Below are 15886 nucleotides of genomic sequence, written 5' to 3' on the forward strand. Positions count from 1 at the left end.
CTTGTATCCTTGAAGAATGGCCTGTAACTTTCGAGGTGAATCCTTCAAAAGACCTTCTGAGGCCTTTGGTCCCTGAAGTTAAGAAGAGTGGACACCCAAAGTCAGGTAGCTAAGACAGACTGAGAGATTCTTGTATTAACTACTGGTTAACCACCTACTAACCTCCAATACTGTGGAAAATACAAATAGTTAGTGGTGGGGGTCAGCAGGCTGCTGCAGATGCCATGGCGGTGGTTCCTACTGAAGCCCAGCTTGGACACAGCTTGCCAAACACAGGCAGTAAGTGGCACCTTCTTCTAATTTGCATGAAGGTGCTGTGTGGGCTAGCTGTGGCCCTAGTGACCAGTGTAGCTTATAACGCCTTCTCAAATTCACTGGTGTCCTGTTACACAAAGTGTAGACCATGCACCAGCATCACTGACATCACTTGGGAGCTTCTTAGAACTGTAGAACCTCAGGCCCCACCCAAGACATACTGGATCTGCATTTTTAACAAGATCCAGGTGATTCTTAACACACATTGATGTTTGGGAAGTGTATTAGTCCATTCTCACGCTGCTATGAAGAAATACCAAGACTAGATAATTTACAAAGAAAAGAGGTTTAATTGACTCCTAGTTCCGCATGGCTAGGAGGCCTTAGGAAACTTACAATTGTGGTGGGAGGCATCTCATCACAGGGCAGCAGGAGAGAGAATAAGTGCCAGCAGGGGAAATGCCAGACACTTACAAAACCATCAGAGCTAGGGAGAACTCATTCACTGTTATGAGAACAGCATGGGGAAATCTGCCTCCATGATTCGATTACCTCCCACCACGTCCCTCCCATGACATGCGGGGGTTGTGGAATTACAATTCAAGAAGAGATTTGGGTGGGCACACAAAGCCAAACCATATCAGGAAGTGTTGCACTAGAACATACCAACCAAGTGGCCTGTGCCCTGTCAACCCCATCTGTCTTTGCTTTTCTTTCCCTAAGAGTAATACAGACTGGGTACTTTACGTACTGACCCTGTTTCAACTCAGTTTTTGTTTGTCATTTTTCAGAGCATGGCTATGTATGTTTATGGTAGGATGAAAAGGGACTTGGAGTGCCCCAGGCTTAAATCAGTCATTCTTCTGGGAGACACAGCAGACCCAGCTACAGGGTTGGAAAGGCGCAGACTGAGGGTAGAATTTGTTCTAGGAAGACATACATCATCAGTGGTGTTGTCTGTCAACCAAGTAGTTTACATCCCAGACATTAGAAGGCAGGAGGGTTCCTGAAGGTTGCAACAGAACAGTGGTTCTAGAAGCCTGTGGTCCTGGAAAGCCAGCACTGAAATAGGGTCCATGGTCTGGAACTCAGCTGGATGACTGGGGTGTCAGACCAAGACTCTGGTTCCTAGGGGCAGGTTAGAGCAAGGAAGGAACCAAATCCTAGAGTGGGTTATCAGGCCAGGCTGGCCTGAGGGGCGAGGCAGGGCTGCGTTATTCAGAATGGGGGATGCGATAAGCCCTGGGACATAAGACCTAGGGCAGAGGTCCATGTTCTGGGCTGGCCCAGCACCTGGCTACCAGGGAGCTGAGGCCCTGAGCTACTGACCTCTTGCTCCTTAGTTAACCCTGACTGCGAGGGGCTGGGTCCAGAGTCTGGGGTGGGTTGGAGCCTGCAGGAAAGCAGGGGATGGTGTGGGTTGAGCAGGTGCTTCTAGCTGAGAGCGGAGAGGCTGGAGACAAGGAGGCCGCAGGCAGGGGCTTCTACCTGGCTCCCTGCCCTCCTTCCTCCTGTCAGTGGATCATCGTCACCACTGCCTGCAAAAGCGGGCTTGCACTCCTCATTTCCCTGAACCAAGACTTTCTGTTCTTTTCTAATCTGGCATTTGTTTTGCCTCTAGGGGCCCAAAGGACCACCAGGACATAAAGGAGAATTTGGCCTTCCCGGGCGACCTGTAGGTATCAGTGTTCATTGGACAGGCTGGAGGGGGAGGACACGTGGGCCAGGCTGGTCTGTGGGCGGAGGGTTTACTGAGGTGTCTGCTGTGGGTTCCAGGGTCGCCCAGGACTGAATGGCCTCAAGGGTACCAAAGGAGATCCAGGGGTCATTATGCAGGTGAGTCACCCTGGGGATGGAGCCGGAGGTTGGTGTCCAGAGAGGGTGAGAGAGTGTGGGGTCCACAGAGCAGGGCCTGTGGACTGAATGTTCAGGAATGTTGTTCTTCTTCCTTCACTGCCACTGCCAAAGGTCCTCCCACCCAGCCCTGTCCTTCAGCTCCCTCTCAGGAGGGTCCTGCCACCTAAAACACCTTAGTGGAAAATAGACTTTCTTGTGTAGGACCCAGAGGGAGTAGGGGAGAAAGGGATCTGGTCATGCTCAGAAAATGTGGTTCCAAATCCCAGGGCCTCTAACTCTAGGGTAATGTCACCTCTCCCCTCCTTTACACAGTCCCAGGGATCACTCACATCACTAGGGGCTCAGTGAGTGCTGGAAGTCAGTATCAAAGGCAGATCAGCTACTTAGGTGGGGCCTCCCAGGTTGGCAAACACTGGGCAGCAGCAGGGACCCTGGTCTAGAAGAAAAAAGCCAATGTTTATTCAGCAGCTGCTGTGTACCAGACACTGTGCAAAGTGATTTTGTTTTGTTTTGTTTTGTTTTGTTTTATTATTATTATACTTTAAGTTCTAGGGTACATGTGCACAACATGCAGGTTTGTTACATATGTATACATGTGCCATTTTGGTGTGCTGCACCCATTAACTCGTCATTTAGCATTAGGTATATCTTCTAATGCTATCCCTCCCCCCTCCCCCCACCCCACAACAGTCCCCGGAGTGTGATGTTTCCCTTCCTGTGTCCATGTGTTTTAAGGAGAGTTTCTCATTTAGTCTTGGTGATAACTATTGCATGAGATACTATGCAGGGATCTTGTTTTACATAAGAGGATACCAGGGCCTCTAGAAGTCAAGGCACCCACCCAAGGTGACCCAGCTAATAATCCCCAAACCAAGATGTAAACACAGCTCTAAGTCTATTGCTGCTTCTGTTTGTGCCACACTGCTTTTGCTTTGTATGCCCAGAAATCCAGAAATACTATTTTCCTGAAGCATTAGGGGTTGAGTCTCACTCACCAAGCCCACTGGAACCGGCAGGCAAACCAGACACTGACGCCTTCATTTAGAGTGATCAATACACTTTCTGCATGAACTAAACTCTTCATGCCTGCCCTCAGAGCCTCACCTCTCCTGCTGCAAGCTCCTGCCTCTAGGCTTAGAGGAGAAACTGTTGCATGGTACTAAGGCCAAGCTGGCTTCACTTTGAAAATGACTGTGCTATCTAACAAGAGTTTTGCATTTATGCTTGCATTTCTGAGACACATTTCCTCTGGCAATATATCACATGAGGGACCCCCACAGTCCATTCCCACCCGTATACTGGGAATGCACTGATAGGGGAGCCTTAGGCTCAGTATCAACTGGGTGTCAGAATCTGAGTTGCAATCTCAGTTCTGCTGTAAGTTGCTGTGTGGTCTTGAGCAGGTCACCTCCCCTCTCTGGGCCTCATTAGCTGCATGTGTTAACCAGAGACAATACTTGTTGCCCTGCCATCTTCCCTATGGTTTGTTGTGAAGATACAGTGAGGCCAGGGACATAGAAGTGCTCTGTGGCTCCCTGAGCAACCTGAGAGAGAAGTTGGTTGGCTTCAGCAGACCCTCCTTTCCTTCCTCTGGAGGAAGTGTCCTGTGGCTGCCCCTGCATTCACAACAACCTGAACTAATGGAATGGCCTTTTTTTCTTCCTTCAGGGCCCACCTGGCTTACCTGGCCCTCCAGGCCCCCCTGGGCCACCTGGAGCTGTGATTAACATCAAAGGAGTAAGTTGGCACGCAGTGGGAAGACCTTCCCGATTGGCCTAAGCTGGAGTCAGGTGTCCTGTTGACCTCACCTCTCTTGTTCTCATTACCCACAGGCCATTTTCCCAATACCCGTCCGACCACACTGCAAAATGCCAGTAAGTAGCAATCACTGCCTTAAAGAGCAGGCTTTGGCATGGATAGCAACTTGGAGAAAAAGATCAGTCTTTGTCTTGGGCCCTTTCTATCCTCAAATGTCCTCTCTGATGTCTTCTGTCCCCTAAGTGTAGACCCTCAAGTGACTAGAAGCTTTTAGATAACAGGTCGTGGCAATGAAATATACTGGATCTTCTAAGGGTGCACACACGGTGAGGTGCTTCTTTTCATACAATCTAAAAAGCAGTGTCTTTTGTTATTGCGACCACATTAGCTTCATGCTTGGAGTAGTATAAAACTGGGAAAAATAGACCCGTTAGAAAACATAGATTAGAAAACAATCCATGCCAACCCATGATCTTTGCATTGAGAACTTTGTAACTAACTATGCTGCCCTTTCCCAGTGATCACATCACTGCACCGCACACAACACTGACAGGCAGGGCTGATCTCTCCCATTTTATGATAATGAAACAAACTGTGACTCAGAGAAGCTCACTGGCTTGTCCAAGGTCATGGGACTTGACTGAGCTGGGATCATAACTCAGGTCTCCTAACCACCAGGCAGCAGGTGCAGACACTGGGATGCTGAGGGGTCAGGCACTTGCCCGGCCCCCCAGCCATTGAGCAGCTCTGTCCCTGATTTTTTACCCACAGGAAGAGAGTCAGATTTCTGTGAGAAAACCCAGTGGGGAGGGTGGGCCTTGTGTACAGGCCTTAGTCACAGAACCATGCATAATCATTCTCTCATTCATTCGACAAATATTTATTGAGCACTTATGCAGTGCTAAGGACTCTGCCAGGCCCTGGGGACACAACGGTGAACTAGACGGATGTGGCCTCTGCTCTCAGGAGCTTGCAAATTACAATTTAGAAATATTCTTTGAGGTGAGTTCGTAATTGATCCCTGTTGGAGGTGATGTTAAGGCTTGGGTCATAGCCTTCAAAATGACGCAGTTTGGCCGCGTATTTGCCCAGACATCTGGCTAAGTCTAAACGTTGAGGCATCCAAGTCTGCAGCTCAGGGCCTGGGAACTCTGGCCTAGAGGGCAGGACCCACCTATGTCAGGTGACTAACGGGCTCCAGGCTCTACATGGAGACAACAGCAACCCAGTATGTGTTTATATCCATGGCCTGAAGAGAAACATAAAATCTCAGTGCTGGAGTGACCTTCCTGGGCAGTCGCTGCATCCCACCTGCTTATCACACAGGAGAGACCACACAGCCCAGAGAAGCAAAAGGCTGGCTCCAGGTCACACAGTGAGTCAGTACAGCAGCCTCTCCTAACTAACATGATTTCAGGCCTCAAATGAGCCAGCCACAGAACAGCACTTGACAAATTTTAGAGTGCGGTAAAAATGCTACTGCAATTATCATGACCTGCACCAGGACCTCTCACAGTAACCATGGCCTTTGGGGGTCGTGGGGATACCTAAAAGAAGGAAAAGATAGGCTCAAAGCATTTTTAGTAAGATTTTTTACTTCATATTGCCTGGCTAGATACTGTAGGAGCTGGGTCATAGACGTTTCTTGTCCAACTCTCAAAATGGACATTTTGAAACAGAAATGCTTCCTCTTACAGCCAGCATCTCATGAGCCCCTTCTAGTTTCAGCTCCTTCCAACACCCTAATCATTTACAGCTCATGTCTGTAGTGGAGAAACTTTATCAGCATAGCCTGCAAGATAACAGCTTGGAGCTGCAACTTTCATCCTTAACTTAGAAATGTTTTTCCTGGTAGATTTCCTCCCCACTCCCATCTTTTCTTGATGGCCCCTGAGCAGCTTGTGACCCTCCACCCGTAAGCACAGAAGGATTTTGGCACCATACGGATGACTTTGATTCTACACATCAATTGGGAAGAAGCCAGGTTTCAAGTGGCTTTGTCTGAATAGAGAAGGAAATGCAGGAATCTGGGGAAAACTGGGAAGGAATATTATCCAGAACAGCCTGGACTCCAGACCCCTGAAACTTAATGAGGTGTCCAGAATAGCACCCCCAATCTAATGATAACCCCCTTTGCTAATTACCTGCCCATGATGCTCATCTTTGATTACATGCAATAGCTAAGCTAATGGCTGACCCGGTTTCACGGTTGGGCATGTCACTTGCTCGGATGCTTGACCTTACACATGAATCAATCCCAACTGATAAGAAAGGAAGACAAGAATGTTCACAGTTGGCCAAACCACCACTGCCACGATTTGTTGTCTTAAAGCTTTGGGCTTCCTTATGGCTGAGTTTTTTGGCCATTAGGCCTCAGCTCTGTCTCCCCAGCTCAACTACATCATGGGTCTCCCAGTTTAAAGCCTGGGATGTCTGTGCATTGACAACTCCTGGGGACTCAGGGCTTTGGGGGACTCCAGAGCCAAAGGAAGGCCTGACTCTGTGGCATTGCCTCTTTTGTCACATGCCCCCGGGACAGTGGCTGCCTGTTTCTGCAAACACCACGGCAGAGCTTGCAGTGCCTAACCTGGCCTTCCTCTCTTTCCAGGTTGATACTGCTCATCCTGGGAGTCCAGAGCTCATCACTTTTCACGGTATACACTCCCTTCTTCATCATTTGTTTCTCTGGGACATCTCCTTGAGGAAGATGGTTTTCCTTTGCCCAGTGCAGGGCGCAGACTAGGTGGTCAGGAAGGTCTAACTGGATGCTGTAGGGGTGGGGATGGCAGCTGAGCCAAGGCTGTGGGGCTGTGCACCTCTCTTTGGTTTGGTCACACATGTGCCTATTCTGCTCATCTTAGCTGAGCCTCCTAGTTGGCAACAAGCACTCTGTTCTTTCAATTGTTCATTTGTTCATAAAACATTCACTGATGCCTATTCCTTACTTGGTATGATCTGCACTGGGCTGAGGCAGATTCCAAGAGCCTGAGAAGCGCTGTTCCTGCCTCTCAGGCTCTTGGAACCTGTTAAGTGAAACTACTTTAAAAACAATTATAGTGCATTATACTAAGAGCTGATCAGGGAAGGGCCGTGGGAGCTCAGGAGACCCTTGCCTCGGTGTCCATGCAACTTTGTAAGCATCTCCTGGGAGCTTGTTAGAAATGCAGAACTTCAGGCCCCACCCTAGACCTGCTGAATCAGAACCCGTGTTTTAACCATCTCCCGGGTGAGGTGAGTGCACAGCAAAGTGTGAGAAATGCTGGCTCAGAGGGTTTGAGTAGTAAATGTCAGCATATTCATAGCCACATGCAGGAGCTTTGCTATGGCACATCAGAAAGGCACAGGCCAGGGGATGGGGCCTGCAGGTGAGCAGTCACTCTGGTCCCCCTGTCCTCACACACCCTGTCACGCCACTTGGGGTTTAAATAGAGGAAGGTCTTTTTCCTCCAATATTCACTTTCAGCTTGGCTGTGTCACCCCGGCCCACGAGGTGGTGGTCTCCCTGATGATATCTAGCCCTGTGGTTTTTCTGTCACTTCTGCTTACCAAGCCCAGCCTGTTTGCAAACTCTATGCTTAGATTCAGTTCAAGGCTCCCCTTTCCCCTGATGCAAGGTGGACCTTGGGGAGCAGGGGATGGAGCTGGATTTGTTTTCTCAGATTCCCCAATTGTTCCTCTTCCCTGTGAGCCTCCCCTGGAAGGAGGGGGAGGGAACAGATCTTTCTGGATGTGACAGCTCCTAGTGAGCAATCATCCTGCTTACTGTGTGCAGCTACTACTGCTCCGGTTGGTGCTGGTGCACTTGCTGTCTTCTCTTCTGATCACTGCTGTCTGTGGGCTCAGTGTGGGTGAAGGAGGCCCCATGGGCCCCACTGCGCAGGTCATTGGTCTCACACAGCATTCCCAGGGTTGGAGAGGCCTCGACAGATGTAGTTGCCGCTCCCTACTGACCCCCTGTTGACACCATCATTCCTGTGATGCTCATATTCCCTCCCCTTCATTGAGAAAGCCTGAGTCGCTAGCCTCATCTACACTTTGTGGCCCCATCTCTAGGCTCAAGACCATTGGTGGGTTGATCTGTCACACCTCTTGGGAACGAGGAATTCAAAGACCTAGCGTCCACCCTACCCATCAAGGTGGGGAAAGGGAACCACTTCCCTTCCCAAGCAGTGATCTCCCAAAAGGCTTTCCTCCATGCCCCCTCCCATATAAAGAGTTGAGGGGAAAGGTGGGGATGGAATGCCAGTTCTGCAGAAACAGTGTTTCTCACTAGTCCTGTGGGGATGTACAACACTTCATGGTGGGCATTCTCACAACTTTGTACGTAGAAAACTTAGCGCCCTTGGTTGTCCTGTGCGGGCACTCTTGGGAGAGCCCTCCTGTTCCCTTACAACCCCATGCTACACAGGCCTAGATGAGATGAGTCTGGAAGATTGACATGGTGCTGAGTCTCTGTCTTCATTTGTGGCACTGACCAAGCCAGGGTTAGCCGCAGCCTCTGCTGCACTCACGGGATGCGCTGCTGGAACCTCAGTGAGAGCACATATTTCATCTTGCCTTGCGTTACTGTGAGCTCTGTCTGTCTCCCAGTAGACTGAGCTTTTCAAGGTTGAGAATGTGTCTGAAGCATCTACCTCTGCCCTCTTTATGATTTTACACTTGCTGATCTCTCAGGAGGGCTTTGTTTGAGTGGACTTTGCTAAATGAGCTTAGTTTGAAAACCTGTCTCAGAAAGGTTTTATATAGAAAGAAGGTGATTTTCCATTTTTTTTTAACATGTATGTGTTTGGTGGCAGGTGTTAAAGGAGAGAAAGGATCCTGGGGTCTTCCTGGCTCAAAGGGAGAAAAAGGCGACCAGGGAGCCCAGGGACCACCAGGTATTCCAGCTCTTGTTCTCAATCTTGCCTTTGATTTTTTGCTCCTGAGAACAAATGCGACTGAGAAATGTGACCTAGCCAGAGGGTAAGACTAATGACATTCCACCCTGACCACAGGCTCCACTGGTTTCTAGTGAAAACCAAGCATGGGCCTGGCATGTCCAATAGGGAACATTGTCAAGAGAGACCAGAAAATCCAATCATTCATCTTTTATATGCAAAACAATGTCCAAAGAAGGCCAGGGACCTACCTGGGATCCCACAGTGTCTGGGTTGATGGGCCCACAGTAGCTAGCACCTGTTTCTGCTTCCAAGCAGACTCTGTTAGCCAACCCAGTGCAGGCTCACATCCACTAAGATGTAACTGTGGTTGCCAACTTAGAGACTTTTATTTTAAAATTTCTGAAATTACAATCGTGAATTTTACGAAGCATTTCTTTTTCAGGTCCTCCACTTGATCTAGCTTACCTGAGACACTTTCTGAACAACTTGAAGGTGAGTATTTCTCTACCAATATTTGGCCTGTGTTTTTCAGGTTTTGGTTTATGTCAGAGACTGAGTTCATCCCACTCTTACTGAAATATTCCTGTGTTCTCTGCTTCCAGGGGGAGAATGGAGACAAGGGGTTCAAAGGTGAAAAAGGAGAAAAAGGAGACATTAATGGCAGCTTCCTTATGTCTGGGCCTCCAGGCCTGCCCGGAAATCCAGGCCCGGCTGTGAGTAGAGACCCCTCCAAGTCATCTACCCCAAAGACTTACAGCTTTCCCGGAAGCCCCCAATGGGACTAGGCAGTTAGGGCTAGTCATTGTACTATAAGCTGGAGGCAGAGCTTGGGGATTAGCCAGCTCTTTCCCCATCCTTGTTGATTGATGGGCAGGTTGGCTGAGGTCCCTGGAGAGAAGGTAGCTGGTCAAGGCCACATGAAGGTAGGTAACTTCCAGGCCATTAGTCACACTGCCTTATTCATGACATTGGTGGAAAATTCACTCCACACAAAGAATGATTAATGGTGAATGCATCAGATAACAGAAGCAGAATGGAAGGTAAGGAGATATTTTTAGAGGAGCTGTTTGATTCTTCTGAAATTTTATCAAAGGAGCTCCTAGATAGGTGTGGTTTTCCTAGGATGAGAGATTTTTCCAGGTGAAAGGAGAGAAAGTCAAGCTGTGCCCCCAACAAGAATATGACTAGATCATTGACCTTTGGTCCCAGAGCTCACTGTGAGGGTAGAACCAGCAAAGCCAGAGATCAGAGTTCTGCCTCTAGCTCTGCATCTAATTTGCTTCATGATCTTGGGCAAGTCCTTTCACTTCTCTGGGCTTCAGTGTCTCCATCTGTGAAATGCAAAGGCTAGACTAGATGATCTCCAAGGTCCCTTCTGCCTCCAGGAGTCTCTGGGGTTCTCTGTAGAATCATTCAACATAATGACTGGGCTGCCATCTTGGAGGCCTTACCCCACCTTGAATTGTGCCCAAGATTGAGGATAGTAATAACAATAGCTGGTGTTTATTGATTTCTTTTAAATATTCTCATAAAAGGACTAGATGGGACTTCGAGTGATGAATGATGCTTTCTCTCTGTTATTGTGTGCTTGCCTTGACAGGGCCAAAAAGGGGAGACAGTCGTTGGGCCCCAAGGACCCCCAGGTGCTCCTGGTCTGCCTGGGCCACCTGGCTTTGGAAGACCTGGTGATCCTGGGCCACCGGGGCCCCCGGGGCCACCAGGACCTCCAGCTATCCTGGGAGCAGGTTAGTGCCGTAAACAGTGCCCTTGTTCATGCTGTCCCTACCATTGTGTTCAAGGTCACAGCATCTGGGTGGCTTGTCACAGCTGCACTGCCTAACAGAGGGCTTTCCTGGATACCGCCTTCTTTCTTTTTTTTTTAATTGAGATACAATTTGCACATCATAAAATTCACCCACCTAAAGTGTCTAATCCAGTAGTTTTTAATATATTCATGAAGTTATGCAGTCATCACCACTGTCTAATTCTAGACCATTTTCATCACACCAAAAAGAAATTTCATACCAATTAGCAGTTGTTCTCTTTTCTCTCTTTCCCTCTCCTCCACCAGATCTGGGCAACCATGAATCTACTTCTGTCTCCAGATTTGCCTATTCTGGACATTTCATATAAATGGAATCATATAATATATGGCCCTTTGAGTCTGGCTTCTTTCACTTAACACAGTGTTTTCAAGGTTCACCCATGTTGCAGCACGGAGTTCATTCCTTACTGTGGCCAAATAATATTGCATTGTATAGGATATACATTTTGTTTATTCATTAATCTGTTCATGGACATTTGGGTTGTTTCTACTTTTTGGCTATTATGAATAATGCTACTATGAACTTTCGTGTACAAGTTTTTATGTGAACATGTTTTCCGTTCTCTTCAGTATATACGTAGGAGAAATTGCTGGGTCATATGGTAACTCTATGTTTAACTTTTTGAGGAACTGCCAGACTGTTTTCCGAAGGAGTCACAACATTTCTCATTCCCATCAGCAGTGGCAGTGTATGAGGGGGTTCCAATTTCTCCTCCCATATTATGGTATCCTCATTGTATCTTTTTGATTATAGCCATCCTACTTGGTATGAAGTGATATCTCACTGTGGTTTTGGTTTGCATTTCCCTAATGACTAATGATGTTGAGCATCTTTTCACATGTGAGTGGAAACTTCCTGGCTGCTTTGTCAATGCCTTAGGGGCGTGAGAACCTGTCTTAATGACCAGCAGTGACTGGAACTCTGTATATAAAAATCTATTCATCCTTTAGAGCCTCACCTCCTCATATGCAAAACTGGCAAAATTAAAGAAAATCTCTATGTAATGAGCATGTATCAGATGCCAGGCATTTTGCTAATCACTTTGCTATGGTATTTTATTGAAACCTCACAACAACACTTTAAAAAAAGCATTAACATCCCCATTGTACAGGTAAGGAAAGTGAGGCCCAGAGACATTTAGGAACCTTTCCAAGGTCACACAGCTAATAAGTGACACCAACAGGATTCAGACCCAGAGCAGTGTAGCTCCAAAGCCTGTGTTATTTCTACTATGTCCATTGGAGGAGACAATAATAGCAGCAATAATAGCATGAAGGCATACTTTTTTGTTGTTTGGCTTGGCAGGAGCCAGGTATGGTGGAAGCATACCTGGAAAGAGACCTACAGAGTCCTTGGCATAAGGAGAGCTTTACACAGGAGGTGACTTTGGGGCTGGGGCTTTGACTTAGCCTTGGATCTTTTGGCTGCAAGTGATAGAAACGTAACTCAAAGTAGCTCAAGCAAAGGGGAAATGTACTGGGTGTGAAGGAGGGAGTGAACAGTCAACTTGTGGGAGAGGTAGATAAACAGCTGGACCTCAGGAACAGCCAGAGCCAGGGACTCAACCCCTGCAAGGATTCTCTGGCCATCTCTTGTCTCGGCTTCTCTCTGCATGCAGTTTCACGCTTCCTCACCACAAACCACATCCTCTGCACAGCGGGAAATATGGTTACTGACAACTTACAGCTTCCACTGTCAGCTAGAAATCTTGAACTTCTTTTACTATTTTAGTTTGAAAAGTCCTGGGATGGGGAAGTCCTAGAGAAGGGTCCTGATGGGCCTGACTTGGGTGAGGTACCCAATCTTGGACAAATCACCTATGACCAGGAGGTCGGATCACATGAGAACATGGTAGCTCTTTCTGGAACCAAATGGTTGTAGAGGTGAAGGGAAGGTCCCAAGAGAAGGAGATGAGGACACTGGTCCTACAAAGGAAGAAGGTGCCGAGTGTATGGAACCACAGGTGCCCACACAGCCATGAGGGAGGAGTAGGACTACAGGAGGTGGAGGCATATTACAGGGTGAGTGCAAGGTGGAGAAAAACTGTTGTCCACAGCAACACTACATTAGGGCTGCCGGGATGCCTTGCTGCATTGAGCAAGGATTGCTTCTCACATAATGTATAGCAATTCAGTTTACAAAACACTTTCATGGCCATTATCCCATGTAGTCTTCACAGCAACCCTGGGAGGAAGATAAAACAGATATTATTATAAAATTCATCTCACGGATGAAGACACTGAAGCTCACAGAGGTGAAGAGACTTACTTGAGGTCACAAATTCTATTAGGAGGCATGGCTGGGATCCAAATCCGAGTCCACTGGCCCTCTATCCACTAGACATTTGCCACCTGTGTGTGGGTGTTCAAGTCCTATGTTGGAACTGAACATTTGCTTGCAACGACCTGAAGGACTGTATAATTTTACTGGGGCTTGTAAAAACACCCTTAATTCTGCCAAGAGCTTGGCAGATTTGGAGGAGTTGTCGGGGGTAGGGTGAGCAGAGGATGAGAGAGGTAGAAGAACAGCCAAAGGAATAGTTGTAATTATACTACTTTATGTTTGCCTAAAGTAAGGGCTTTTCAGTTGAGGAATCATAGACTCCTAGAGAGTTCAAGGATATACCTCCAGGATTTGTCATCCCAGTAATATTTTTTTATAGAATTATGTGTGCATTTCTCTGGGAAAGAGGGCACTAACCTTGATCTGATTTTTAAGGGCACTGTGACTCTTCAAAAGCTAAGAGCTCCTGGCCGGATGAATGCTGTACATGTACAATTTTCAAAGCACTCAGTTCTCACCGCAGCCCAGGGAAGAAGAAATGCCTATTTTACATTTTGCAGATGAGGAAACAGCTTTGGAGAGCTTGCTGTTTCCTCGAGATCACACAGCTAGGAATGGACAAACTTAAGGACTTGAGTCCATGTCTCTGGCCCCAAGGCCAGGGCTACTGTCACTGCACCACCCTGGTCTCCTCCCACTCCCTAGAGCCTTCTCTTCCTCTTTCTGAGCCTGCTTCCTCTGTTCAGTGTCACATGCTTGTCTCTTGGGTGAAATAAGTTATATGAGTCAGGACATTTTTGAATGCAAGTGACAAAATATTCAACTTAAGCTGGCTTTTATAAAACAACCACAAAAGGAATTGATTCACTTATGAAACGGAAAAGCACTAGCCATGGCTTCATCCAGGGTAACAATCAAGAATCCCAGCTCTTCCCTGAACCAGTCAATGTGGCCTAAGTCACACGCTGGGGGCACAGCACCCAAGATACAGGTGGAAGTTGGGATGCTTTGTGGCGCTGTGAATGGGGTTGAACACACTTCTCTCCGGGAGTCAGCTGATACCTCAGACATTTTTCAGAGTGTGGTTTTTGTGTAACTTCTCTTTTCTGTTTTGTCTTAGCTGTGGCCCTTCCAGGTCCCCCTGGCCCTCCAGGACAGCCAGGGCTTCCCGGATCCAGAAACCTGGTCAGTATTATCATCAGTGTGTAGTCATCATTCCATTTGGGATAGATATACTTAAAACTCTGCCTACGATCTCCTGTGTCTGACATCCCTTGGGGATCAGGCCTTCATGATAGTAGGCTTGGTGCAATTCCATAAATAGTAGAAGGGATTTGTTATCTATTTGGATGACTTATTAAGTAAAAAGACGTGAAAAAACAAAATCATGTATATGTAAGTTCCACCATTCGAATCCTTAATTGACTAAGTTATAACAAGAACCAATCATATTACTTATATATTTTTATATATATATATATATATATATTTTTTTTTTGCTGGATGAGGGGTGGACGGGGTCTCACTCTGTCACCCAAACTGGAGTACAGTGGTGAGATCACGGCTCACTGCAGCCTCAACCTCCCTGAGCTCAGGTAATCCTCTCATCTCAGCCTCCAGAGTAGCTGGGACTACAGATGCACACTACCACACCTGGCTAATTTTTTTTTTTTTTTTTTTGTAGAGACAGGGTTTTTGTTACATTGCCCAGGCTGGCCTTGAACTCATGGGCCACCAAGGTGATTCTCCCACCTTGGCCTCCCAAAGTGCTGGGAGTACAGACACGAGCCACCACGCCTGGCCACCAATAATAGTATTTCAAAAAGCATAAACCTGCTCGGGTGCGGTGGCTCACTCCTGTAATCCCAGCACTTTGAGAGGCTGAAGCAGGAGAATCACTTGAGTCTAGGAGTTCAAGACTAGCCTGGGCAACATAGTGAGATCCTGCCTCTACAGAAAAATGTAAAAATTAACTGGGTGTGGTGGTGCATATCTGTAGTCCCAGCTACTTGAGAAGCTAAGGATCACTTGAGCCTGGGAAGTCGAGGCTCCAGTGAACCATGACTGTGCCACTGCACTCCAGCCTGGGTGAAAAAGCAATACCCCATCTCTAGAAAAAAAAGAAAAAACAAAACAACAAAAGCCCAAGAGCATAAACAATGTTACAACAGGTCCTTGTGCTGGTCAGATTTACTTGGATAATTCAGTCTTCTCCATTCTGCCAAAGAACATCTCTGGCACATTCGTTACCCTGCAGTTCGTTGGAACAAGACATAGCACTCCAAGATTACTGTAATGCACAGAAAAATGGACAAATACTTCACAAGGATGTCAGGAGTCCAAAAATGCTCTTTGATCTTTGCTGGATGTTAGTTGCAAAATTTGGCTGCCAAAAGAAAGAACTGTCCTACATATGATGGAATTCTGATATTTGGTTCCCTTGGGGATATCTAAGTCATTTTGATGCACAAAGCCATTATCTTCAAGGCTAGGTGAAAATTAATATTTTATAATCTTTCTCAGTTACAATGAAAAATAAAAACTCTCTTGGCCGTTATTTCTTTGAGATTTGATGCTATTCAATAGATTTTTGTAGCTTCTGTATGTGCTTCTAGATATGCCAAATGGCTGTCTAATCTTTGGCACTTTTCTAGGCAGAGAAATTACAGACCTCCATTTTCTATCATGCATTTAATGTAACTACCAAGCTAGACAAAAAAGATTTAAGACCTTAAGTATAGTTGCTCACTTGCTTGCCTTTCTTATTCCAAATGAAAAATTTGAAACTCTTCAAGGACCAGCATGAAGTAACACCATTTAACCATGTTAGTGCCACCAAGTAGCTTAAAAAAATAGAAGTGGTAAAACTTACCAGTGCTTTTGCTAATACCCAAACCAAAACAAAGATAACTCCATTGACAATTTGTAAATGTCTTTATACTCACATAATATTGTCATTTTTGTTTTAATTCATTTATTATAAGTTAGATTTGTGTTTCAAAGTATACATGTTTTTGTTTTATCAAG

At 46.7% G+C, this 15886-nt stretch overlaps 1 protein-coding gene across 1 annotated transcript in view; it reads left to right on the top strand.

The window, feature by feature from the left end:
* Positions 1–15886, top strand: part of COL15A1 (collagen type XV alpha 1 chain) — a 126881-nt gene that overhangs the window by 102003 nt on the left and 8992 nt on the right. The window contains exons 27-36 of the mRNA NM_001855.5: positions 1877–1930; positions 2032–2091; positions 3781–3849; positions 3945–3986; positions 6479–6524; positions 8667–8747; positions 9193–9242; positions 9353–9463; positions 10351–10495; positions 13980–14044. Of these exons, the coding sequence (NP_001846.3) occupies positions 1877–1930; positions 2032–2091; positions 3781–3849; positions 3945–3986; positions 6479–6524; positions 8667–8747; positions 9193–9242; positions 9353–9463; positions 10351–10495; positions 13980–14044 (723 nt within the window). The remainder of the gene's footprint in view (positions 1–1876; positions 1931–2031; positions 2092–3780; positions 3850–3944; positions 3987–6478; positions 6525–8666; positions 8748–9192; positions 9243–9352; positions 9464–10350; positions 10496–13979; positions 14045–15886) is intronic.

The sequence above is a fragment of the Homo sapiens genome, chromosome 9 (genome assembly GCF_000001405.40).
Source record: "Homo sapiens chromosome 9, GRCh38.p14 Primary Assembly".
NCBI lineage: Eukaryota > Metazoa > Chordata > Mammalia > Primates > Hominidae > Homo > Homo sapiens.